General features: G+C 37.5%; 1 long non-coding RNA gene across 1 annotated transcript in view, besides 1 other annotated feature; it reads left to right on the top strand.

The window, feature by feature from the left end:
* Positions 1-26,745, top strand: part of LINC02742 (long intergenic non-protein coding RNA 2742) — a 162,086-nt gene extending 135,341 nt beyond the window's left edge. The window contains exons 2-4 of the long non-coding RNA NR_183752.1: positions 165-239; positions 21,812-21,895; positions 25,712-26,745. This is a non-coding gene — a long non-coding RNA (long intergenic non-protein coding RNA 2742). The remainder of the gene's footprint in view (positions 1-164; positions 240-21,811; positions 21,896-25,711) is intronic.
* Positions 13,609-14,109: an enhancer, noted in NCBI's record as "H3K4me1 hESC enhancer chr11:29072733-29073233 (GRCh37/hg19 assembly coordinates)". NCBI's record gives its function as "activates a minimal SCP1, AML or CMV promoter by ChIP-STARR-seq in naive H9 embryonic stem cells {active_cell/tissue: H9 hESC(naive)}" and the evidence as "EXISTENCE:reporter gene assay evidence [ECO:0000049][PMID:30033119]".
* Positions 26,746-27,450: the final 705 nt, after the last annotated feature.

Here is a 27,450-nt window from a genome sequence, read left to right on the forward strand (position 1 = left end):
CAATTTCTATGAAAAATCATTTTCGGATATTGATTGGAATTATATTTATTGTTTAACTTGAAGATAATTGACATCTTTACTATTTTGTCTTCTTGTTCCTTGCTATAACAAGACACCAATTTTTGTAAAGTCTCTGTCGTACATCCTTTTTTCTTTCTTTTTAGTGACAATCCTTTGAAGTCATGAATATACAAGAGCATGAATAAGAGAAGAAAAGATGGAAGATAAAAAGCAGAAGGGTGAGTGACAACCAAGTTAAAAACCTCAGTGGAGCAAAATTACAAATCAGAAGTGAGAACAGCCAGGGATGAGTCTGACTTTTACCAGACAAAACCGCAAAGTCATAGGAACTGGAAGAACCAGGTACCTTTAAAACCAAGAGGGAAGAAGCAGCCTAAAATAAGGAAGACAAGGTTAAACCTCTTTGATAAGCAGTTACATTTCCTCCCCTCCCTTTACTTCATTGACTATTTCCCTGGTGCAGTAAATGACTAGGAATTTACTATTTTGGAAGCATCTCACAGGTTTTTGTATTTTCATCTATCATATTTTTTTAGGTTACTTTCTGTTTAACTTCCTCAGGCTCACTTCATTTTTAAAAAAATTGTTAACTGTATCTATTGTGTTTGTTTTATCATTTTTCAAGAATTACCTTTTTCATTTATAGAAGTCTTATTTGGACATTTTCCAAATCCCAACTTGTTTGAATTTTCGAATTATATTTTCATTGCATTACTTACTGCTTTCTTTAGGTCTTTAATTATGACAAAGTTATTTTCTTTTCATTCTAAACATATCCATAGTGCTAATTCTGCTAGGTTTTTTTTTTCTCCTTTTTGAGGGGTCATTTCGTAAGTAGTCTTCACATTTGCTGTGAGCTCAGCTGCAGTAGAGATAGGTTTTTTCTGTTTGTTTACTTCAATTTTTAAAATTTTTTTCTATGGAAGATCCATGTACTCTTGGTAGGGAGATTGGTTTGTTTATTTCAATTTTTAAAAATATTTCTATGGAAGATACATGTGCTCTTGGTAGGGAGATTGGGGTTAAAGCTCTGTTTTGTCCTTTGCCCAGTGCCCTCATTATTTCCTCAGTCTTAGATCATTTTTAAATAAATGCAAAATCTCTTCTTGAATCATGTGGGTTGTATACATTTGGATTCATACCTATATTGGATATGGGGTAAAACTTTGATTTCCCATCTTAAACTTTTTTTTCCAGTCAAAAAACTAGCAATGATAATGTTTCTCTTGAGCCAATGAAAAGAGTCTTTATAATCTTTATAATCTCTTTTTTACTAATGGGAAAAACTTCTAGAATTTGTATATATGGCATTTTGTAATGGTATCCGTTTCAGTTCTGTTACATCACCTAGACCTAAGACCATACTTCCTGTTTACATGTAATCATAGTCATTAAGGCTAATATTTATGTCTACCCTCTTCCCAATATCCAGTCCCTGCAGCATTAAGTTTGAACTCTAGTTTTAAGTTTCATTTCTAATTTTATCACATGGGAATTATGGGGAATATTTTCTTTCTTAATTCCTTGCTCTGATAAATACTCAAAATTTCTAATTCAATTAATTAATGTACAAATTAAACTAATTTAGTGTGTATGCCTCATTCTCACAAATAAATCTTTGAAATAATTGGGACAGCTATTGGTTTTCCCACTACCTGCTGTTGAATATTTTAAGCCAAACTCTTTTAAATATCAAAGAATAGAGCAAGCTAGCTGATACCTGAATTTTATTAGAATGAGGCAGGCATGGGTTTCTCCTCAAGAAACCAAAGGATGAATTTAAGTTAAAGCACATATAGATATAAAACCTGTCAAAATAGTATATATCATAGAAGATGTCGACATGCATTACTGTCACCCTGTTATCTGACTCCTGCTATATGGTTTCTCCTCTTTGGCTTCCACTTACTTCTTTATGTGTTGCCCACTGTGCTTTAGCTACACTGAACTTTATTTGGAACTTCAAGCACTCTATGGTGATTTCCTTTCAGAGTTCTTTATGCTTGCTACTCCCTCTGTGTGAAATGCATCCCCCCAAATTCCACGGTCTGGCTTCTTTATCATTTGTTGAGTTTCAACTCAAGTGTGACTTTCTTGAGAGGATTTTTGTCACTGCCTAAAGAAGCCCCACATATAGTGACCCCACTATGGATCATCTCGTGTTATTTTCTTCAAAACTCTAATCTGAAATAACCTTGTCCACTTCTTGGTTCATATTTTTACTGCCTGCATAACCTCACTAGACTGTAAGTTCTATGAGAGAAGAAATGTTTCTATTTTGTGTATTTCTGGCACCTCAAAAAGCACTTTGAAAAATTATGCTGCTCCAATATTTGTTAAATGAAAATTAATTTGGCACCTTCTCTGCTTATGAGCTTTTGTTGGATGCCAAATTGTTTAAATCACATTGGAAGATGCACATTCTTCATTTTAGGAACAATAGTGTAATAGGGATTAGGTTGATATGGAGAGAGCAACAATACCCGTATTAGCCCAGAGAGATCACAATCACAACACAGTACACAAAAGAACTATTCTGCAAATGAGAAACAAGCAACGAATATTTTGAATTTTTAAATAGAATAATAATAATACAATTTCTCAATCTTAAAATTTCATTTGGTTTTTCATCTAACTTGGCAACTTTTCTGAAAAACAAATTGCCTGGATGAGTCGATTTTTATATGCACTGTGTTAAAGAGGAATATTCTAAAGCTGTAAATAGAGACTGATGTTTTAAACTATATCTACTGTGATACATTTTCTAGAAGGAAATGTCTCTAATATCAGGTATACAACAGCATCTTCAACTTCTTGGCAAATGACCTCTACTATAATTATTGTCACCAAATTTTCTCCTCTCTAAAGAATATTTAGTTAAACCTCACTATAGTTTCCAGTTCCACATGAAACAAAACTAATTGGATAAACAGCATCAAGATAACATTTATTAACAGAGGCCTTGCTTCTCACCTATAGCACAAACAGTGCTACACTATACTGAGACATATGTGATCTCCTCATGATTAGGGTTCAAATAATACTAGTATGCTCCTGCAGATTTTCAATGAGATGATGTCATACTAGACAGATGAAACAGACATGCTATTGCATTATCATCAACATCATCATCATCATCATCATCTAAAAAGATTTTTAAGGACATGTGTGAGGAATTGCTCAACCAGAAAGAATGCAGATGGAAAAGATCAATCAATATCCAATATGTATGTGTATTTTAAAATATAATTGAAAAACTCAATTTCTTCAATGAAAAAACAAGTGCAAAGCAAGGTACTTTTAATTTGTACTCATATTCAGATAGAGATATTCCCTAGCCTGCAAGAGAGTGAAGAAATCCATTTTAATATAATTGAGAACTATCTTCCCATGATGGGAAGGCACTCAGTAGAGAGTAAGCAGCTTTTAAGACTGATTCTGACTGCTATCCCCTAGCATTACCATGGTGTCATCTAGCCACATGTGCTCCTGATCCAAATCACCATGCATATGCATGTCCATATGTTTCCTCCTTGTGGGGCTTCTTCATCTCATCATTTGGTTCAATATCAACATTCCTATTCCCTTCCTTGCAGTTCCACACATTGTGTTTCACTCATTGCACCTCTAACCACACCTCAGGAAAACTGTCGCTATCAAGTGGAAAATGGCATTGCCTGGGACATGTGAGGGTTGGCATATTCTGACCATCTATGCTAAAATGGTGTTTCTGACTGCCTTTTCCTCTGATTCAACATCAGAGGAAAAAAGTCAGTGTTATTATCTGCTTTGTAAGTTGGAGTGTAGGCTGAAGTTCTTTGCCACCCCTCCACTTCTCAAATGAATTAGGGTTCTCAGAATAACTCTGAGGGGAACTGAGTTTTGCATGTGTTTCTAGCAGCTTTGTCTGCAGTGGAGGTGATCTAAACTGCTAGGATACCCAATGGAGCACGGGTGAGAAATGCCATCTGACTTGTCATCACCCATGAAATCTTAGTGTGAAGCATGGGGGCAGAGTCCAGTGGGAAGGAAACAAAACAAACTGGAAATGTGGAGAAATACAGTGATGCTTCCTTTCTCCCATGTCAATAAAGGAGCTACATAAACATTTAAATAATAAACAATTGTTCTCTTTAAGTAAGTCCTCCCAAGAAACACAATGGTCCAGAAATGTAAAATGCTATGTTGTTTTAGAGGAATTTTAGGAAAAGAAGCTGAGGGTAAAGAAATTGCCCACATTTCCTGCATCAGAATTCTCAGTTAATTCATCCGATTCTTAAGTCTAGCTACATAATTTCTGAGGCCAGTGCAAAATGAAAACATGGGTTTCCCTGTCCAAAAAGCAGAAAAAAAGTTATTTTGCTTGTACTAAAATATAAAGCTTTTTCTTCTGTGGTCTCATTCTCAATTATGGTTGTGCTTATTATTAGCTGTTTAATGTCATTCTAAAAAAACATTAAAATTTTAAACTATTATAAGTTTTACAATTCATTTTAATTTTGTGCAATGCCCATACTAAATGCAATTGTAAGAGCATAGCTTTTATGTGGAATTCCTGAAATTACATAATTTTTACATATTTGTAGTTCATACATACATATGTATTTTTGTTCCAACCAGAATAGTAGAAACACTGCACAAATTTAACTCAACTTTTAAAAAAATTGTACTTCTTGATACAAGTATATATACCAACACTATCTTTGGCTTGCTAATGAGTAAAGAAAGACTGAAAGGAAAAGGAACTATGAGTTGTACCATATTTTTCTTTTTTTTATTTTATCATTTTCATCATAAATTGTGGGCTTGTTTGAGGAAGTAATGGAATACAACTCCATTTTAAAAAAGAAAAAAAGTTCTGCAATATATAACAACATGAATGAAGCTTAAGGACACTACACAAATGAAATGTTAGCCACAAAAAGACGAATACTGCATGATTCTATTTATATGAGCTACCTAAATTAGTCAAATCTATAGGATCAAAGAATGGAATGGAATATACAGTTTCAATTACATAATTATACATATTCTGGTAGCTTTTTGTACAATATTATAGTTAACAATACTGTATTATACACAAAATATACTAGGAGGGTACATCTTATTTTAGTTTTTTTTTTACTACCAGAAAAGTAAAGAGGGTACATAATCAATGTACAAAAATCACTAGCATTGTTACACACCAAAAAACAGCCAAACTGAAACCCAAATCAGAAAGGAAATCCCATTAACAATTGCCCCAAAAAGAATAAAATACCTAGGAATACAGATAACCAAAGAGGTGAAAGACCTCTACAATGAGAATTATAAAAACACTTCTCAAAGGAATAGGAGAAGAAACAATCAAATGGAAAAACATCCCACGTTAATGCATAAGAAGAATCAATATTATTTAAATGGCCAAAGCAACTTACAGATTCAATATTATTCCTATCAGACTACCAATGACATTCTTCAAAGAACCAGAAAAAAGTATTTTAACACTGATATGGAACCAAAAATGAGCCTGAATAGCCAAGGCAATCAAAAAGAACATAGCTGGAAGCATCACGTTACCAGACTTCAAACTATACTACAGGGCTATCATACCAAAACAGCGTGGTACTGGTACAAAAGCAGGCACATAGACCAATGGAACAGAATAGAGAGGCCAGAAATAAGGCCACATATCTACAACCGTCTGATCTTCAACAAAGCTGACAAAAACAAGAAATGAGAAATAAACTCCCTATTCAATAAATGATGCTAGGATAACTGGCTAGCCATATGCAGAAGATTGAAGCTGGACCCCTTCCTTTCACCATATAGAAAAATCAACTCAAGATGGATTAAAGATTTAAATATAAAACCCCAAATTATAAAAACCCTGGAAGGCAACCTAGGCAATACCATCCTGGACATAGAAAAGGGCAAAGATTTCATGACAAAGACACCAAAACCAATAGCATCAAAAGCAAAAATTGACAAGTGGAATCTAATTAAACTTAAGAGCTTCTGCACACCAAAATAAACTACTATAGAATAAACAGACAACTTACAGAATGGGAGAAAATATTTGTAAACTATACATCTGAAAAAGGTCTAATATCCAGCATCTATAAGGAATTTAAACAAATTTACAAGAAAAACATCCCCATTAAAAAGCAGGCAAAGGACAAGAACAGATGCTTCTCGAATGAGGACATACATTTGGCCTACAAGCATATGAAAAAAAGCTCATTATCACTGATCATTACAGAAATGCAATTCAAAACCACAATGAGATAGCATCTCACACCAGTCAGAATGGCTATTATTAAAATGTCAAAAAAATAACAGATGCTGGTGAGGTTGCAGAGAAAAGAGAACATATATACACTATTGGTGGGAGTGTCAATTAGTTCAACCATTGTGAAAAGCAGTATGATGGTTCCTCACAGAGCTAAAAGCAGGCCAAGTGGTTCATGCCTGTAATCCCAGCACTTTGGGAGGCCGAGTTAGGCAGATCACTTGAGGTCAGGAGTTCGAGAGCAGCCTGGCCAACATGGTGAAACCGCATCTCTACTGAAAATACAAAAACTAGCTGGGCATGGTGGTGTACACCTATAGTCTCAGCTATTCAGGAGGCGGAGGCAGGAGAATGTCTTGAACCTGGGAAGCAGAGGTTGCAGTGAGCCAAGTCCGTGCCACTGCACTCCAGCCTGTGTGAGAGCCAGACTGTCTAAAAAAAAAAAAATGTAAAACTAGAACTACTATATTTGACCTAGAAATCCCATTATTGAGTATATACCCAGAGGCATATAAATAATACTACCATAAAAACACATGCACATGATTTTTTTTTTTTTTTTTTTTTTTTTGCAGCACTATTCACAATAGCGAAGACATGGAATCAATCTAAATCCCCATCAATGACAGATTGGATAAAGAAAATGTGCTACATATACACAATGGAATTCTATGCAGCCATAAAAAAAGAATGAGATCGTGTCTTTTGTGGGAACCAGGATGGAGCTGGAGGTTATTATCCTTAACAAGCTAATGCAGGAACAGAAAACCAAATACTGCATGTTCTCACTTGTAAGTCAGAGCTAAATGATAAGAACTTACAAACACAAAGAGGGAAACAACAGACACTGGTGTCTACTTGAAGGGAGAAGGTGAGAAGAGAGATAGAAGCAGAAAAAATAACTACTGGGTAGTGGGCTTAATACCTGGGTGATGAAATAATATGTAAAACAAACCCCCATTACAGGTGTTTACCTATGAAACAAACCTTCACATGTACCCCCAAACTTAAAGTAAAAGTTAACAAAAAGAATAGGAAAGGAAAGAAGATAAAAGAAAAGGAAGGGAAAATAAAAGAAAAGTGCTGGGTGTGGCAGCTCATGCCTGTACTCCCCAGGACTTTGGGAGGCTGAGGTGGGCAGATCACTTGAGCTCAGGAGTTCGAGACCAGCCGGCGCAACATGGCAACGCTCTGTCTCTACAAAAAAAAAAAAAAAAAAAAAAAAAAATTAGCCAAGCATGGTGGTGTGTGCCTAAAGTTCCAGCTACGTGGGAGGCTGAAGTGGGAGAATCCCTTGAACCCAGGAGGTGGAGGTTGCAGTGAGCTGAGATCATACGACTGTACTCTAGACTGGGTGACAGAGCAAGACCCTGTCTGGAAATAAAAAAAAATTATGATGTAATTCCTTGGTTGCTTTTGCTTCTTAGAGTGCCATTGAAATATTGAAGCAAGGTCTGGTTCAAATGAAAAATATGGCCTTATAGGACGTCCAGCAATCCTGCTTACTCAGGTTGTACATTTAAAGGGTTTTTCTTATACTTATGTGGGTTGCATTGAACTCCCATACATTTTCGGTCCAATGAACTTCTGTTCTTGAGAGGCATCTATATGCAAATGAGGTGGCCAGGAAAAGGGGGCATAGATATTGTGTCAAACTTCACTGCTCCATTGTCTCGCTGGACTTCATTTTCAAAATTCAAGTTCGAAGATCAAATCATTAAGAATTTCAAGGTGGTAACAGCAGAACGCTAAACCAAGTGCAAAGGCCTTCTGATTTCAGGGCTCTGTGTGACCACACAGTTGTCCACTTATAAAGGTTCCCCTGTTAGCTCTTGATTGTTGCTTTATTTATTTATTTATTTATTTCTTGTCTTTTGTTTTTCTTTTCCTTTTTTTTTATTATACTTTAAGTTCTAGGGTACATGTACACAATGTGCAGGTTTGTTACGTAAGTATATATGTGCCATGTTGGTGTGCTGCACCCATTAACTCGTCATTGACATTAGGTATATCTTCTAATGCTATGCCTCCCCACTACCCCCACCCCACAACAGGCCCTGGTGTGTGATGTTCCCCTTCCTGTGTCCAAGTGTTCTCATTGTTCAATTCCCACCTATGAGTGAGAACATGCAGTGTTTGGTTTTTTGTCCTTGCGATACTTTGCTGAGAATGATGGTTTCCAGCTTCATCCATGTCCCTACAAAGGACGTGAAATCATCAATTTTATGGCTGCATAGTATTCCATGGTGTATATGTGCCACATTTTCTTAATCCAGTCTATCATTGATGGACATTTGGGTTGGTTCCAAGTCTTTGCTATTGTGAGTAGTGCCACAATAAACATAGGTGTGCATGTGTCTTTATAGCAGCATGATTTATATTCCTTTGGGTATATACCCAGTAATGGGATGGCTGGGTCAAATGGTATTTCTAGTCCTAGATCCCTGAGGAATCGCCACATTGTCTTCCACAATGGTTGAACTAGTTTACAGTCCCACCAACTGTGTAAGAGTGTTCCTATTTCTCCACATCCTCTCCAGCACCTGTTGTTTCCTGACTTTTTGATGATTGCCATTCTAACTGGTGTGAGATGATATCTCGTGGTTATGATTTGCATTTCTCTGATGGCCAGTGATGATGAGCATTTTTTCATGTAGACACATTTATGCAGTCTGTTGGCTGCATAAATGTCTTCTTTTGAGAAGTATCTGTTCATATACTTTGCCCACTTTTTGATGGGGTTGTTTGTTTTCTTCTTGTAAATTTGCTTGGGTTCTTTGTAGATTCTGGATATTAGCCCTTTGTCAGATGAGTAGATTGCAAAAATTTTCTCCCATTCTGTAGGTTGCCTGTTCACTCTGATGGTAGTTTCTTTTGCTGTGCAGAAGCTCTTTAGTTCAATTAGATCCCATTTGTCAATTTTGGCTTTTGTTGCCATTGCTTTTGGTGTTTTACACATGAAGTCCTTGCCCATGCCTATGTCCTGAATGGTATTGCCTAGGTTTTCTTCTAGGGTTTTTATGGTTTTAGGTCTAACATTTAAGTCTTTAATCCATCTTGAATTAATTTTTGTATAAAGGTGTAAGTAAGGGATCCAGTTTCAGCTTTCTACATATGGCTAGCCAGTTTTCCCAGCACCATTTGTTAAATAGGGAATCCTTTCCCCATTTCTTGTTTTTGTCAGGTTTGTCAAAGATCAGATGGTTGTAGATGTGTGGTATTATTTCTGAGGGCTCTGTTCTATTCCATTGGTCTATATCTCTGTTTTGGTACCAGTACCATGCTGTTTTGGTTACTGTAGCCTTGTAGTATAGTTTGAAGTCAGGTAGCATGATGCCTCCAGCTTTGTTCTTTTGGCTTAGGATTGACTTGGTGATGCAGGCTCTTTTTTGGTTCCATATGCACTTTAAAGTAGTTTTTTCCAATTCTGTGAAGAAAGTCAGTGGTAGCTTGATGGAGATGGCATTGAATCTATGAATTACCTTGGGCAGTATGACCATTTTCACAATATTGATTCTTCCTATCCATGAGCTTGGAATGTTCTTCCATTTGTTTGTGTCCTCTTTTATTTCCTTGAGCAGTGGTTTGTAGTTCTCCTTGAAGAGGTCCTTCACGTCCCTTGTAAGTTGGATTCCTAGGTATGTTATTCTCTTTGAAGCAATTGTGAATGGGAGTTCACTCATGATTTGGCTCTCTGTTTGTCTGTTATTGGTGTATAAGAATGCTTGTGATTTTTGCACATTGATTTTGTATTCTGAGATTTTGCTGAAGTTGCTTATCAGCTTCAGGAGATTTTGCGCTGAGACGATGAGGTTTTCTAGATATACAATCATGTCATCTGCAAACAGGGGCAATTTGACTTCCTCATTTCCTAATTGAATACCCTTTATTTCCTTCTCCTGCCTAATTGCCCTGGCCAGAACTTCCAACACTATGTTGAATAGGAGTGGTGAGAGAGGGCATCCCTATCTTGTGCCAGTTTTCAAAGGGAATGATTCCAGTTTTTGCCCATTCAGTATGATATTGGCTGTGGGTTTGTCATAAATAGCTCTTATTATTTTGAGATACGTCCCATCAATACTTAATTTATTGAGAGTTTTTAGCATGAAGGGCTGTTGAATTTTGTCAAAGGCCTTTTCTGCGTCTATTGAGATAATCATGTGGTTTTTGTCTTTGGTTCTGTTTTATGCTGGATTACATTTATTGGTTTGCATATGTTGAACCAACCTTGCCTCCTAGGGATGAAGCCCACTTGATCATGGTGGATAAGCTTTTTGATGTGTTGCTGGATTCAGTTTGCCAGTATTTTATTGAGGATTTTTCCATCAATGTTCATCAGGGATATTGGTCTAAAATTATCTTTTTTGTTTGTGTCTCTGCCAGGCTTTGGTATCCTGATGATGCTGGCCTCATAAAATGAGTTAGGGAGGATTCCCTCTTTTTCTATTGATTGGAATAGTTTCAGAAGGAATGGTACCAGTTCCTCCTTGTACCTCTGGTAGAATTCAGCTGTGAATCCGTCTGGTCCTGGACTTTTTTTGGTTGGTAAGCTAGTAATAATTACCTCAATTTCAGAGCCTGTTATTGGTCTATTCAGAGATTCAACTTCTTCCTGGTTTAGTCTTGGGAGGGTGTATGCGTCCAGGAATTTATCCATTTCTTCTAGATTTTCTAGTTTATTTGCATAGAGGTGTTCATAGTATTCTCTGATGGTAGTTTGTATTTCTGTGGGATTGGTGCTGATACCCCCTTTATCATCTTTTATTGCATCTATTTGATTCTTCTCTCTTCTTTATTAGTCTTGCTAGCAGTCTATCAATTTTGTTGATCTTTTCAAAAAAACAGCTCCTGGATTCATTGATTTTTGAAGGGTTTTTTGTGTCTCTGTCTCCTTCAGTTCTGCTGTGATCTTAGTTATTTCTTGCCTTCTGCTAGCTTTTGAATGTGTTTGCTCTTGCTTCTCTAGTTCTTTTAATTGTGATGTTAGGGTGTCAATTTTAGATCTTTCCTGCTTTCTCTTGTGGGCATTTAGTGCTGTAAATTTCCCTCTACACACTGCTTTGAATGTGTCCCAGAGATTCTGGTATGTTGTATCTCTGTTCTCATTGGTTTCAAAGAACATCTTTATTTCTGCCTTTATTTCGTTATGTACCCAGTAGTCATTCAGGAGCAGGTTGTTCAGTTTCCATGTAGTTGAGTGGTTTTGAGTGAGTTTCTTAATCCTGAGTTCTAGTTTGATTGCACTGTGGTCTGTGGGACAGATTATTATAATTTCTGTTATTTTACATTTGCTGATGATTGCTTTACTTCCAACTATGTGGTCAATTATGGAATAAGTGCGATGTGGTGCTGAGAAGAATGTATATTCTGTTGATTTGGGGTGGAGACTTTTGTAGATGTCTATTAGGTCCACTTGGTGCAGAGTTGAATTCAATTCCTGGATATCCTTGGGTGCTCCTGTATTGGGTGCATATATGTTTAGAATAGATAGCTTTTCTTGTTGAATTGATCCCTTTACCATTAAGTAATGGTCTTCTTGGTCTCTTTTGATCTTTGTTGGTTTAAAGTCTGTTTTATCAGACACTAGGATTGCATCCCCTGCCTTTTTTTGTTTTCCATTTGCTTGGTAGATCTTCCTCCATCCCTTTATTTTGTGCCTATGTGTGTCTCTGCATGGGAGATGGGTTTCCTGAATACAGCACACTGATGGGTCTTGACTCTTTATCCAATTTGCCAGTCTGTGTCTTTTAATTGGAGCATTTAGCCCCTTTACATTTAAGGTTAATATTGTTATGTGTGAATTTGATCCTGCCATTATGATGTTAGCTGGTTATTTTGCTCATTAGTTGATGCAGTTTCTTCCTAGCCTTGATGGTCTTTACAATTTGGCATGTTCTTGCAGTGGTTGTTCCTTTCCAAGTTTAGTGCTTCCTTCAGGAGCTCTTTTAGGGCAAGCCTGGTGGTGAGAAAATCTCTCAGAATTTGCTTGTCTGTAAAGTATTTTATTTCTCCTTCACTTATGAAGCTTAGATTGGCTGGATATGAAATTCTGGGTTGAAAATTATTTTCTTTAAGAATGTTGAATATTGGCCCCCACTCTCTTCTAGCTTGTAGAGTTTCTGCTGAGAGATCAGCTGTTAGTCTGATGGGCTTCCCTTTGTGGGTAACCCGACCTTTCTCTCTGGCTGCCCTTAAGATTTTTTCCTTCATTTCAACTTTGGTGAATCTGACAATTATGTATCTTGGAGTTGCTCTTCTTGAGTAGTATCTTTGTGGTGTTCTCTGTGTTTCCTGAATCTGAATGTTGGCCTACCTTGCTCTGTTGGGTAGGTTCTCCTGGATAATATCCTGCAGTGTGTTTCCCAACTTGGTTCCGTTTTCCCCATCACTTTCAGGTACACCAATCAGACGTAGATTTGGTCTTTTCACATAGTCCCATATTTCTTTGAGGCTTTGTTCATTTCTTTCTATTCTTTTCTCTCTAAACTTCTCTTCTCACTTCATTTCATTCATTTGATCTTCCATCACTGATACCCTTTCTTCCAGTTGATTGAATCGGCTACTGAAGCTTGTGCATTCATCACGTAGTTCTCATGCCAAGGTTTTCAGCTCCATCAGGTCCTTTAAGGACTTCTCTGCATTAGTTATTCTAGTTAGCCATTCATCTAATCTTTTTTCAAGGTTTTTTACTTCTTTGCAATGGGTTTGAACTTCCTGCTTTAGCTTGGAGAAGTTTGATCGTCTGAAGCCTTCTTCTCTCATCTCAAAGTCATTCTCCGTCCAGCTTTGTTCCATTGCTGGTGAGGAGTTGTGTTCCTTTGGAGGAAGAGAGGTGCTCTGATTTTTAGAATTCTCAGTTTTTCTGTTCTGTGAAAGATGGCAGAATAGGAACAGCTCCAGTCTACAGCTTCCAGCGTGAACGACGCAGAAGATGGGTGATTTCTGCATTTCCAACTGAGGTACCGGGTTCATCTCACTGGGGCTTGTCAGACAGTGGCTACAGGACAGTGGCTGCATCGCACCGAGCGTGAGCTGAAGCAGGGTGAGGCATCGCCTCACCTGGGAAGTGCAAGGGGTCAGGGAATTCCCTTTCGTAGCCAAGCAAAGCTGTGACAGATGGCACCTGGAAATTCGGGTCATTCCCACCCTAATACTGTGCTTTTCCAGTGGTCTTAGCAAACGGCACACCAGGAGATTATTTCCTGTGCCTGGCTCGGAGGGTCCCATGCCCACGGAGCCTCGCTCATTGCTAGCACAGCAGTCTGAGATGGAACTGCAAGGTGGCAGTGAGGCTGGGGGAGGGGTGCCCACCATTGCTGAGGCTTGATAGGTAAACAAAGCGGCTGGGAAGCTCGAACTGCATAGAGCCCACCGCAGCGCAAGGAGGCCTGCCTGCCTCTGTAGACTCCATCTCTAGGGGCAGGGCATAGCAGAACAAATGGCAGCAGAAACCTCTGCGGACTTAAATGTCCCTGTCTGACAGCTTTGAAGAGAGTAGTGGTTCTCCCAGCACAGAGTTTGAGATCTGAAAACGGACAGACTGCCTCCTCAAGTGGGTCCCTGACCCCCGAGTAGCCTAACTGGGAGGCATCCCCCAGTAGGGGCAGATTGACACCTCACGAGGCTGGGTACCCCTCTGAGAGGAAACTTCCAGAGGAATGATCAGGCAGCAACATTTGCTGTTCAGCAATATTTGCTCTTCTGCAGCTTCCGCTGCTGATACCCAGGCAAATAGGGTCTGGAGTGGACCTCCAGCAAACTCCAACAGACGTGCAGCTGAGGGTCCTGACTGTTAGAAGGAAAACTAGAAAACAGAAAGGACATCCACACCAAAGACCCATCTGTACATCACCATCATCAGAGACCAAAGTTACATAAAACCACAAAGATGGGGAAAAAAACAGGAAAAGCAGAACTGATTGTTGCTTTAGAAATGAAGAATCTCTATTTGAGGACCTTATGTTGGGTATAATGTTCTCTCTCGTATACAGTTAGGCTTGGATATATCCTGAAGCTATAAGAAAAAATTTTCTATTTATTTGATGAAAAGGAACTCTCTGGGTAACAAACATCAAGAATAAACTCCATTCAAATGAATTTTGCTCCAACAAATGTTAGAAGTTAAAAGTATCTGAATCTAAAGATATACAGTACCAATGTATAGGGAAAGCATGCCTAGGGAAAGAATGGTTTGTCAAAGTAAGCACAAACCAGTATAGGGATGTCTTTGTGCAACCTCTAACACTTTAGAAGAACAAGGGTTCATTATTAGTCACCATTATTAGTCATCAGAGTAGCACCATACTGGGGGAAGAACACCTGAAGTTCTTGAAGAATTAGTATTGGCGTATGAAATTAATGTAGTTAGTGGACTTCATCCAATCCCTAGAGAAAACTTTGATAGTATTTCAGGTTCTGGATGGCATTAATGTTTTTAGTATACAATTGCAGCTTCTGAGTGTCAGCACAGGAGCTTCATTACTAATGGCAACAGGACAGAGCCTCATATGAAGAGGAAAAATGGAGTAAATATAATTTGTCAGTAGGAATAATATTACAGTAATGATGAATAGTAATGAGGACTAATATAATATTGTAAAAGACTCTTTTTAAACCGTTAACTACAGTTTGCTAAGAGTATGGGCTATCTCATTTAGTCCACATAATAAATCTGCAAGAAAGACAAAAAAAAAACCCACAAACTTTATTAAGATTCCATTTAAAATATAATCATTCTAAGGTTCAGAGAGTTAATTGCCAGCCTAAGGTCACACAGAGGGTGGTCTATGAAGGCAAGGTTTAAATGCAGGTGGTGAGCAGAAGCAATGGATGATTCAGGATTTCTGCACTATCCACATGTGAGGTTCCTCTTCTGTAAGAACTCTACCATACCCTCTACCCAGAGGTTCACTTTCATAGCCATATTTATAACACACTTCTGTTTCTTTTTTGAATAAACTATCATGATTCCCCTAGGTAGACATAAACATCTCCAAACTGGTCCTAAGAGCATTTTTCAAGCTTTTTCACTGAGACTCACAGTACATTTTTATTTGGTACCTTGAATACACACCCATATATTTAACATATTCTATGTGCCTTATACTCTGATTTTTCTATTTTATTTTCTTTTTTAAACATGCAGATTGTCAAACTCAATAAACTGAATCATAAATTAATGATAGCCTGAAAAAAATTGCTGGCTGATAAGCTCTCTCCCTGGATTTTGGAATTGGAACTAAGAGATAGCAAATTAAGTTTTATATGATTCAAATAATGACATACAAATTTTATGTATTGCTGTCATGGGCAGCCGTATCTTGCCCAAGACATCTTATGTACCATAAGCAAAAATAAATTCATACATCAAAGTAGTCTGGGATGGGGGAGAGAAGGAGAGGGAGGGAGGGGGAGAGAGAGAGAGAGAGAGAGAGAGAGAAAGAGAGAGAGAGAGAGAGAGAGATGATTTTTAAAAGAAACAGATAAAAGCGGGAACAGATGTGACAACTGACCAACTGGCCAGTGCTTGGCTTCTAGGCCTGGCTATATTCCTGCATTTGGATTTTACTGAAACTCCTTTGACTTAAGTAAGCTCTAATTTACCTCTATTGAGTTTACAACAAATAGAGAATCTCCGATTTTACAAGCATGATAAAATCATAATGATTGTACAGGAATAACTGGGAGGAATTTGACAAGGGAAGAATCCCCCCAATAATTTGCTGTTTGCAAGAAGTAAAGAGAGAGTATGAATTATAATACTTAATTTTGACCTGAGATTTGTATAGCCCATTATTGATTTATTGTTTGGGTTAAATGAACAGAAAGACTAGACTACTTATAAAACAACTGTATATAACTCTAAACTCTAATGAAAAATTATAGATATGAGGCTATGAACTAAATAATGAGAAAGATTCATTGTCTTATATTATTCATTGTCTTATCCTTAAAACCTGATCCAAAAACATAGTAACTCCATAATTATTGAATGCACAAATAAATGAATCAAGTGTTATAAAGGAAATATACACAGATGTATGAAATATAAACCAGAAAACAAAAATGATCCTGGGAATCAGAACAGCTTTTCTGGAAGAAGATTTTATGAGTATTCAAGAATAACATGTACCAAAGCCTGGTGAGGAGTAAGGCGCATGAAGCATTAAAGGCTATAACATAGGGTCAGTGTGGCTAGAATGCAGAGGTGAGGGTGAGATTACTTTGTGCTCATATGCCAAGCATTATATTAGGCACTGTACATTTTTCATCTCAGTTGTAATTATAAATAAAAAAAACAAATTAGGAAGGTTGAATGACCTAGTTCAGACTTCATTTTGACACAGGTGAGACACATCCACAAAATTAATATTGTCTAGTTTTCATTCTTAAAAATGGTGACATACCCAGTAATGGGATTGGTGGGTCAAATGGTATTTCTAGTTCTAGGTCTTTGAGGAATCGCCAGCACTGTCTTCCACAATGGTTGAACTAATTTACACTCCTAGCAACAGTGTAAAAGCATTCCTATTTTTCCACATCCTCTCCAGCATCTGTTGTTTCCAGACTTTTTAATATTTGCCATTCTAACTGGCATGAGCTGGTATCTCATTTTGGTTTTGGTTAGCATTTCTCTAAGGCCCAGCGATGGTGAGCTTTTTTTATATGTTTGTTGGCCACATAAATGTCTTCTTTGGAAAAGTGTCTGTTAATATCCTTCACCCACTTTTTGATGGGATGGGTTTTTTATAATCTTCTAAATTTGTTTAAGTTCCTTGTAGATTCTGGATAATAGCTCTTTGTCAGATGGATAGATTGCAACAATTTTCTCCCATTCTGTAGTCTGCCTGTTCACTCAAATGATTGTTTCTTTTGCTGTGCAGAAGATCTTTAGTTTAATTAGATCATAAATCATTATACTATGAAGGCATATGCACATGTATGTTTATTGTAGCACTATTCACAATAGCAAAGACTTGGAACCAACCCAAATGCCCATCAATTAAAGACTGGATAAAGAAAACTTGGAACATATACACCATGGAATACTATGCAGCCATAAAAAAGAATGAGCTCATGTCCTTTGCAGGGACATGGATAAAGCTAGAAATTATCATTCTCAGCAAACTAACATAGGAACATAAAACCAAACACTACATGTTCTCACTCATAAGTGGGAGTCGAACCATGAGAACATATGGGCACAGGGAGGGGAACGTCATATGCTGGGGCCAGTCGGTGGGTGGGGGTCAAGGAGAGGGATAGCATTAGGGGAAATACCCAATGTAGATGACAGGTTGAAGGGTGCAGCAAACCACCATGGCACATATATACGTATGAAACAAACCAGCACATTCTGCACAGGTATCACAGAACTTAAAGTATAATTAAAATAAATAAATAAAAAAGAAAAAAATGGTGATAAAGACTTGTACTCTGCTGATAAATCAATTGAGGAAAATATGAGATTTACAGTTATCCAACTTTTAAAGAGAACTAAGAGGAAGTTTAAAATGGACCTATAACATCAACTGTAAGAAGTCAACTAGCCTTAGAAGTTAAACTACAGAAGATTGTAAAAGATGGTAATGATTAATTTAGCAAAATAATGGACTACTTAAAAGTTTGCAAAATGTAGCAAATAGTAGTGTTTTCTTTCCATGTTACTCTGCTTGGAGCACAAAGAGGTTATTCCAAATTTGCACCAACAAGTAATTGTGTGTACTGTTGGCTCCATAATAAAGGTATACAAAGGATTTCTAAATAGGCATTTTACTTGATGTGGTTTGGCTCTGTGTCCCCGCTCAAATCTCATCTTGAATTGTACTCCTGTAATTTCCCCATGTTGTGTGAGGGACCTGGTGGGAGATGATTGAATCATGGGGGTTTTAATCCCCCATAGTGTTCTAGTGTTAGTGAATAAGTCTCATGAGATCTGATGGTTTTGTCAGAGGTTTCTACTTTTGCATCTTCCTCATTTTCTCTTTGCCTGCTGCCATCCATGTTAGATGGGGGTTGCTCCTCCTTGCCTTCTGCCCTGATTGTGAGGCTTCCCCAGCCATGTGGAACTGTAAGTCCAATAAAACTTCTTTGTTTTGTAAATTTTCCAGTCTCTGGTATGTCTTTATCAGCAGCATGAAAATGGACTAATAGAGTAAATTGACACCACTAGAGAGGGGCGTTGCTGAAAAGATACCTGAAAATGTGGAAGCGACTTTGGAACTAGGTAACAGGCAGAGGTTGGAACCATTTGGAGGGCTCAGAAGAAGAAGGGAAAATGTGGAAGCGTTTGGAAATTCCTAGAGAATTGTTGAATGGCTTTGCCCAAAATGCTGATAGCAATATGGACAATAAAGTCTAGGCTGAGCTGGTCTCAGATGTAGATGAGGAACTTGTTGGGAACTGGAGCAAAGGTGACTCTTGCTATGTTTTAGCAAAGAGACTGGTGGCATTTTGCTCCTGTCCTAGAGATTTGTGGACCTTTGAACTTGAGAGAGATGATTTAGGGTATCTGACAGAAGAAGTTTCTAAGCAGCAAAGCATTCAAGAGGTGATTTGGGTGCTGTTTAAAGCATTTAGTTTTAAAATGGAAACAGAGCATAAAAGTTTGAAAAATTTGCAGCCTGGCAATGTGATAGAAAAGAAAATCCCATTTTCTGAGGAGAAATTCAAGCCAGCTGCAGAAATTTGCTTAAGTAATGAGGAGCCAAATGTTAAGCCCCAAGACAATAGGGAAAATGTCTCCAGGGCATGTCAGAATTCTTCGTGGCAGCCCCTCCCATCACAGGCCTGGAGGCCTAGGAGGAAAAAGTGGTTTTGTGTGCTGGACTGAGAATATCCTGAGCTGTGTGCAGAATAGGGACTTGGTGCCCTGCGTCCCAGCTCCTCCTGTTGTGCATGAAAGGGGCCAGTGTAGATCTTGGGCTGTGGCTTCAGATGGTGCAAGCCCTAAGCCTTGGCAGCTTCTACATGGTGTTGAACCTGTGGGTACAGAGAAGTCAAGAATTGAGGTTTGGGAACTTCCCCCTAGATTTCAGAAGATGGAAATGCCTGGATACCCAGGCAGAAGTTTGCTGCAGGGGCAGGGCTGTCATGGAGAACCTCTGCTAGGGCAGTGTGGAAGGGAAATGTGGCGTTGGAGCACCCACACAGAGTCCTTACTAGGGCACTGCCTAGTGGAGCTGTGAGAAGGGGGTCACTCTCCTCTATACCCCAGAATGGTGGTTCCACCAACAGCTTGCATTGTGCATCTGGAAAGGCACAGACACTCAATGCCAGCCTGTGAAAGCAGCCAGAAAGAAGGCTTACCCTGCAAAACCACAGGGGTGGAGCTGCCCAAGACCATGGGAACTCACCTCTTGCATCAGTGTGACCTGGATGTGAGAGATGGAGTCAAAGGAGATCATTTTGGAGCTTTAAGATTTGACTGCCCCAGTGGATATCAGACTTGCATCGGCCCTGTAGCCATTTTGTTTTGGCCAATTTCTCCCATTTGGAATAGTTGTATTTACCTGATGTCTGTACCCCTATTTTATCTAGGAAATAAATAGCTTGCATTTCACTTTACAGGCTCATAGGCAGAAGGGACTTGCCTTGTCTCAGATGAGACATTGGACTGTGGACTTTTGGGTTAATGATGAAACGAGTTAAGACTTTGGGGGACTGTTGGGAAGGTATAGATGGTTTTGCAATGTGAGGATATGAGATTTGGCAGTGGCTAGGGGTGGAATGATATGATTTGCCTCTGTCCCCACTCAGATATCATCTTGAATTGTATTCCCATAATTCCCACATGTTGTGGGAGGGACCTGGTGGGAGATGACTGAATCATAGGGGCAGTTTCCCCCATACTGTTCTCATGGTAGTGAGTACGTCCCATGGGATCTAATGGTTTTATCAGGGGTTTCTGCTTTTGTGTCTTCCTCATTCTCTCTTTGCCTGCTGCCTTCCATGTAAGATGGGACTTGCTCCTCCTTGCCTTCCACCTTGATTGTGAGGCTCCCCCAGCCACATGGAACTTTAAGTCCAATTAAACCTCTTTCTTTTTAAACCTCTCTATTTCTTTTGTAAGTTGCCCAGTCTTGGGTATGTCTTTATCAGGAGCGTGAAAACTTCTTGATAACTGCCCCAAATTTTTCACTGATAGGCCCCAGTGACCAAGTTAGCTCAGTATTTACCTGGTGATATGTTTGGTTCTGTCCCCACAAAATCGCATCTTGAATTGTAGCTCCCATAATCCCCATGTGTCATGGAAGGGACCCAATGGGAGTTAATTGAATCATAGGGTGGGTTTTTCTCTTGCTGTTCTTGTGATAGTGAATAAGTCTCATGAGGTCTGACGGTTTTATAAAGAAGCGTTCCCCTGCACATGCCCTTTGCCTGCTGCCATGTGCCTTTGCTCCTCCTTTGTCTTCTCCCATGATTGTGAGGCCTTCCCAGTCATGTGGAACTGTGAGTCCATTAAACCTATTTTTCTTTATAAATTACCCAGTCTCAGGTATTTCTTCATAGCAGTGTGAAAATGGACAAATACTCTTGGAGATTGAGAATGGGATGTCAGAGAATATAGGGGAAGGCTATTTATTAATTATGGCTTGGGCAGGAAAAGATATCATACTAAGACTAATTTGAGAAGAATCTAATAAAGGTTCTATTAAAAAAGACATGGGTGTAATTAAGGAAATAATGAAGAGTATAATATCCTAGATGTGTGTATGCTTATAACAGTAAGCCACTAGTAGGGCCCTTAGAATTGAAGCAATCAGAGGAGAAGTATTTACTGGAACTTAGTGAGTGGTATCCCGGCAAGAAAGGATCCAGGGAAATAGAAATATTTATCTTACTATTTTTCTTGCCTCTGATCTTCTGCCATGGCCTCTTATTTGCCAATCCAACCAGAAGCCAGGTTGCAAGGAAGCTTCTTGATGCAGTCCATCAAAGTCAACCTATCCGCACACAGGGCAAGGTGAGAATATATCTGGAGGGTCAAATTGGAGACTCACTCTAAGTACCTTCTCAAATGAAAGCTCAGGCTTATAGTTCCCCCATTTTGTGTTAAACATCAGTTAAATTGAACAAATATTTATTAAGATCAAGGTAGATACAAGCTGCTGTGCTGCACACTTTAAGATTTGAAAAGATTAAAAAATTGTCAACTCTATCTATAGGGGACTCAGATACTCAAGTGGGTATACTATAAAGTACAGAAAGAAAAGGGATGAGGGTAACTAAAAAGAGAATATATTATTCTTAGCATAGTAAGAGACAAAACCCTGATACACAAGCTTTTCTTAGCTGGAAAACACTACAAATTTTATTTTGTGATTGTTTACATCAAATCTTAGCCAAAATTTCATTTTGCTAATCAGATAAAAGAGGAACAGTGGTTAAAATAAGGATATGTTGGTGATGTTTTATATAAAACGTAAAAATCTGCCATTATGTGTAAATAAGGAATAATAGAAACATTTGGAAATGAACAATTTTTTTTAGTGCCTACTATGTACTACATTATGCTAGGTGCTGGAGATATAATGGTGAATAATGTTGCAATATGCCCAGTCTTCATGGAATCAACAGTCCAGTGGGGAAGGCAGATAAGTGGTAAGTCAATTGTAGTGCATGTTGATAAGAATAATTTATAAGGGGGCCCAGGGCATGGAGGCTCACGCCTGTAATCCCAGCGCTTCTGGGAGGCTGAGCTGGGTTATTACCTGAGGTTAGGAGTTCAAGACAAGCCTGGCCAACATGGTGAAACCCTGTTTCTACAAAAATTAGCAAGGCATGGGGGTGCACACCTGTAGTCCCAGCTACTCAGGAGGCTGAGGCAGAAGACTCGCAGGTGGAGGTTGCAGTGAGCCAAGATCATGCCACTGCACTCCAGCCTGGGCAATAGAGTGAGACTTCATCTCAAAAACAAAACAAAACAAAACAAAAGAATAATTATAAGGGAAGTACTGGTGCTATGGAAACACAGATGGAGTAAATAAAAATTGGAGATTTGGGGCTCAACATAGATGAAGAGACTTTCCAGTTAAAGTTGTATCTAAATTATTACCTGAAAAATGAGTTAAGAGCAATACACACAAAGAAGCAAAGAGGAAAAAATGTTTCCAGAGAGAAGGTAATATATACAGTTTCAGAGACAAAGAATGGTGTCAGAATGTGCTTTCAAGGTAAGGCAAGAGATTTAATATTACTAGAGTTCACAAGGGAAAGTCAGCGCTAAGGAGAAGGCCAAAAGCTAAGACCAGGCAAATCGTCAGGGGTCAGGTCATGATGAGGAAGCATAAGAGGAAAGATCTTAGATATTATCTGGAGGGTCCTGGAGAGTCGTTGAGGTATTTTAGGCAGGAGTGTGGCCTCAGTATATTTACAATTTAGAAGACTATTCCAATGAGTGGAGTGACTTAGTGGGGAGCTAGATGATAAAAATTAACACATAGTGATCCAAATGAAAGATAATGATGACCAGAGCTACAGTTGTAGGAAGAGAAATGATAGAATTAGATGCATTTCAGAAATATTAAAGAGTTATAATTGTCTGAATTGATGGATTGGATAAGGTTAGAGAAGTACACATGGATGCCTCAGTTATGACTTGGCAATTCAATGATCAGTGGTTCCATTTACAGAGAGAAATTGTGAGAAAAGAAGCAGGTTTCGAGTGGGAGAGATGAGTTTAAATTTAGATATTTCAGACAGAGGTGCTCATAATATATTCAAGTGTAAAAGGATAGTAAGCATTTGAAAATACAGATCTGAATTTCCTGTGAAAATTATTGACTGGACCTCAAAATTTAAGAGCTATTAGTATGAGTAGTAATTAACCTCCTAGACAGGATAAAGTTATGTGAGAATGTATGAAGTGATAAAATTTTAAAAAAAAGATACAGTTAAGTCTAACAATTTTAGAATGGGCAGAGGAAGGAGCCTGCTAGACTGAGAACAGGTCATATGAGGGGTAGGAGAAGATATAGAAGAGTATGGTGTCAAAAAAAAATTTACAGAAGAGAGAGTTTTCAGAAGAATTTGTTTTTTATGGTAGCATGTACCATAATCGCTTTTCAGTGACTTGAAGCACAGATCAGAGTTCTTGCTGATACCATTTCCCTAGAGAAGCGACCGGTTTTTATCCTTTCTTCTAAATTTAAATGTTTATTGTTTTAATGTCTATGGAGAATAATTTTCCCCCCCTGTCTAATAGGTCATCAGGTCAGTGGATATATAAGTCACCATTATTAACAGCCTCACTAAAAGACTACAAGATGAGTAAAATAGGTTCAAGACAGCTCCTATCACAGGGTTATTTTAGTAACTGTATGTGGAATTCTGGCTGTTTTATTTGGAGCTATGTTGAGTACTCAGATCTGTATTTCTCAGCATCAATGTACAGAACTCCTTTGAGTCCTGCAAAGCATTGTCACACTACAAAGCACAGTCAGTGTGAAAAAAAAAGAGAGGATGATGACAGAGTAGACAGCATGTCACAACCTCTTTATATATTATTTAAGTCAAATATGTATCTATATGATATAAATATATGTAATAAACATCATAGCATAGCATAGTATATTAAATCATATACATATATGTGTGTATTGACATCTATATGTGTATATACTTTCTCTCTATATACAAATATAGCTGTGTGATATATATATATACACACACCCCCCCCACACATATGACTTTTCCTGGTTGAGTCCTGCCTATATAAAAACCACCCAGTCTATCTGATAAGAAATTTGGGGATTATTAGATTTGCTGAGTCAGATGACTAGGTAAGATATTTCTTATTAGACAGAATGGAAAGATGTTGGTCTTGCTTTATCAACCACATGTTTTACAGAAGTTGTCAGTGTCCTCCTTTTATTAGTTTAGGGCACAACATTTCAGAGTTCTCATTTAGTTAGACAAAGTTCTAAGACTCAGAGTGTAGGTAGACAAGGTGCACAACTTGTCTCTGCTATATTCAGACATATCGACTGATTCCAAGCCATCTAAATTAATTAGACCTCTTGATACCAAGAATCAAAAGGTTTACTAACCAGGTAATGTTAATGGCATATCCCTGAGTAACAAGGGCATTATTCTGTTGGATCAAAAAGGTTAAACTTGATTACAGAAATCTTTGTGAAGGGATTTTTCTTTTTAAGATTCGCCAAATCCTCATAAGAGGGAGCTTAAAGTACCTATTGTAAAAAATTTTCAAAGATCCAGTTACAAAACCATAAAACTATAGCTATATTGTTAAAGATAAGTTATTTTGGAAAATAAACTCCCTCAGGGCAGTGACCATGTCTATTTTGTTCATCAATATATCCTTAGCTATTAGCACCTAACATTGCCTGGTTCATACCAGACCTTCAGAAATATTTCATGGATAGACGTTTGCATGAATCCTCAGTTTAATTCAAAATGTTGTCATAAATATTTTTAGCTAAAGAATCCTGAAGCCTATTACAAGTATGATTTCCATGAGAAAGTAGTTTTCTTCACTCGTGATGGATGAATGATGTCTAATACACATTATGGTGAATTGGAAGAAGTATTCAGTAGCCTCTGAATAGCAGTTATGGTGGTAGCACCAAAGATCCTTAAAGCTCTATGTTGTTCCATATATACAGTAAACAAATCATAATCATCTTGGTTCTTTCAATTGTATTGTACTTTACTTATTACAAAGTACTTTTACAGGTGTTTTGCTTTCATTTGAGCTTCATAACAACCTTGTTGAAGAAAGTAAAATACTATCTCCAATTCACACCTCTCCATGTGATTAATTATTCTTTCAACAGGCATTTATTGTGCTCCAAATATTGAGCATAACCATTGGCAGACAGATACATAAATTATGAGACACAGGTCCTGCCCTTAGGAAGATGACAGTCTTTTTGAGAAAAATAAGACAATGAAATAAATAATTATAATGAAGTAAAGAGATCAGTATTAAGTAAAACATATAACCTCATTGTAAAGTGTTCAGGGAAGAACATACATTTTTGGCTGGGAGCTTGATAAAGGCTTTCAGAAGGAAGGAACATGACATAATGTCACTGGGATTTTGAGATACTTGTTTATTTTATCAATTTTGGAGACAATTTATGGTCATGCTTTGTATAATGATGTTTGATTCAATGACAGACTACATATATCATATTGTCCCCAGAAGATTATAACAAAGCTGAAAATTTCTATTGCCTAGTGATGCCATAGGTTCATAATATCATAGTGCAGTGCATTATGGATGTGTATGTGGTGATGCTGGCTTAACCTAACCTACTGCTCTGCCAATCATATAAAAGTATAATATATACAATTATGTACAATCCATAATACTTGAAGATGATAATAAATGACTGTTCCTGATTTATGGCTTATGTGTTTACTATACTATAATTTTTATTGTTATTTCAGAGCATATTCCTTCTACTTACAGAAAAAGTCAACTGTAAAACAGCCTCAGGCAGGTCTTTCAGGAGATATTCCAGAAGGCATTGTTATCATACAAAATGATAGCTCCATGAGTATCATTTTCCCTGAAGACCAGTGGGACAAGATGAGGAGATGGAAGACAGTGATATGGATGATCCTGAACCTGAGACTGTATAGGCCTAGGCTAATGCATGTGTTTGTGTCTTCGTTTTTAACTAAAAGCTTAAAAAGTAAGAAAAATAAAAATAAAACATTTGAAAATACAAAAATCATATAGAATTAAGGACATAAGAATATTTTCGAACAGCTGTACAATGTATGTGTGTTTTAAGCTAAATGTTATTGCAAAAGAGCCAAAAGTTTTTTTAAAAAGTTTATAAAAACTTACAATAAGCTAAGATTAATTTATTAATGAAGAAATAATCTTTGTATATAAGTTTAGTGTAGCCTAAGTGTACAGTGTTTATAAATCTACAGTAATGTCCCAGACCTTCACATTCACTCATCACTCACTCACTGACTCACTCAGAGCAACTTCCACTCCTGCAAGCTCCATCCATTGTAAGTGCCTTATAAAAGTGTACCACTTTTTATCTTTTATACTGTATTTTTACTGTACCCTTTCTATGCTTGTTTAGATACACAAATACCACTGTGTAACAATTGCCTACAGTATTCAGTACCGAAATATGGGGTACAGATGTGTAGCCTAGGAGCAATAGGCTATACCATATAACCTAGGTGTGTATAGGTTTGTGTAAGCATACTCCACAATGCTTGCACAACTATATGCAAGCATACTCTATGATGTAAACATACTCTAGGATGTTCGTATAAGCATACTCTACAGTGTTTGTGTAAGAATACTCTAAATTTGTGTAAGCATACTCTACGATGTTTGCATAACCATGACATCACCTAATGATACATTTTCAGAATGTAACCCATTGTTAAACATACATGACAGTATTTAATAAATAATTAAATGATTGCTGTATTCCAGGCACTGTACCAAATGTTGGGGATACAAAAAAGAATGAAAAGTATATTTTAAATTTTTTGGTGTGTAAAATTTAGTGTTAAATGATTGCAGATCCCAAAGCAAATTATCATCTTAATGAGGAGAAAAATCACCTTTAGTCCAAGATGAACAGGAACTCTGCCTCAATCCCTAGTTTATGTAGAAAGAGACTGCACAAATGTATTCACGGGGAGTAGGTCCTTGCATACCTTAGGGGAGGCCATGGGTAGAAAGATGAGCCAAGTACTCGGGGGGACAGATTGAGGAAAATATAACTGGATTGAAGTTCATTCAACAAAGCCATTTTCAATCCATTTCAATAGATTAAAATGATGAAGAAAGGCTTCCATAGGAAATATTTTAAATAAAAGGTAAATAGATACTAAAATCATTATACAGCTATTTTAGCTATTTTAATTACATTTTAAAAATATATGATGAATTAGGATTTCTACTCCTTGCAAATACTATCTATTTTGAACAATATTGTTACTAAAGATGTAAATTTTTATACTGTTTGAAGCATGGCTAAAATGATTTCATTCTTGAAAATAAGCCCTGAATGAATTAGAGCTACTGTATATAACATTATCAAGTTCCCAGGAATTTAGTTATGTTTCACAGAAAATTATTTTATTTCACTCATAGAAAGGGTTAGCTAAAAATAAGTTTTAGGTAACAAAGACCAAAAAGGACACAA

The sequence above is a fragment of the Homo sapiens genome, chromosome 11, assembly GCF_000001405.40.
Source record: "Homo sapiens chromosome 11, GRCh38.p14 Primary Assembly".
In the NCBI taxonomy this organism is placed as follows: Eukaryota; Metazoa; Chordata; class Mammalia; order Primates; family Hominidae; genus Homo; species Homo sapiens.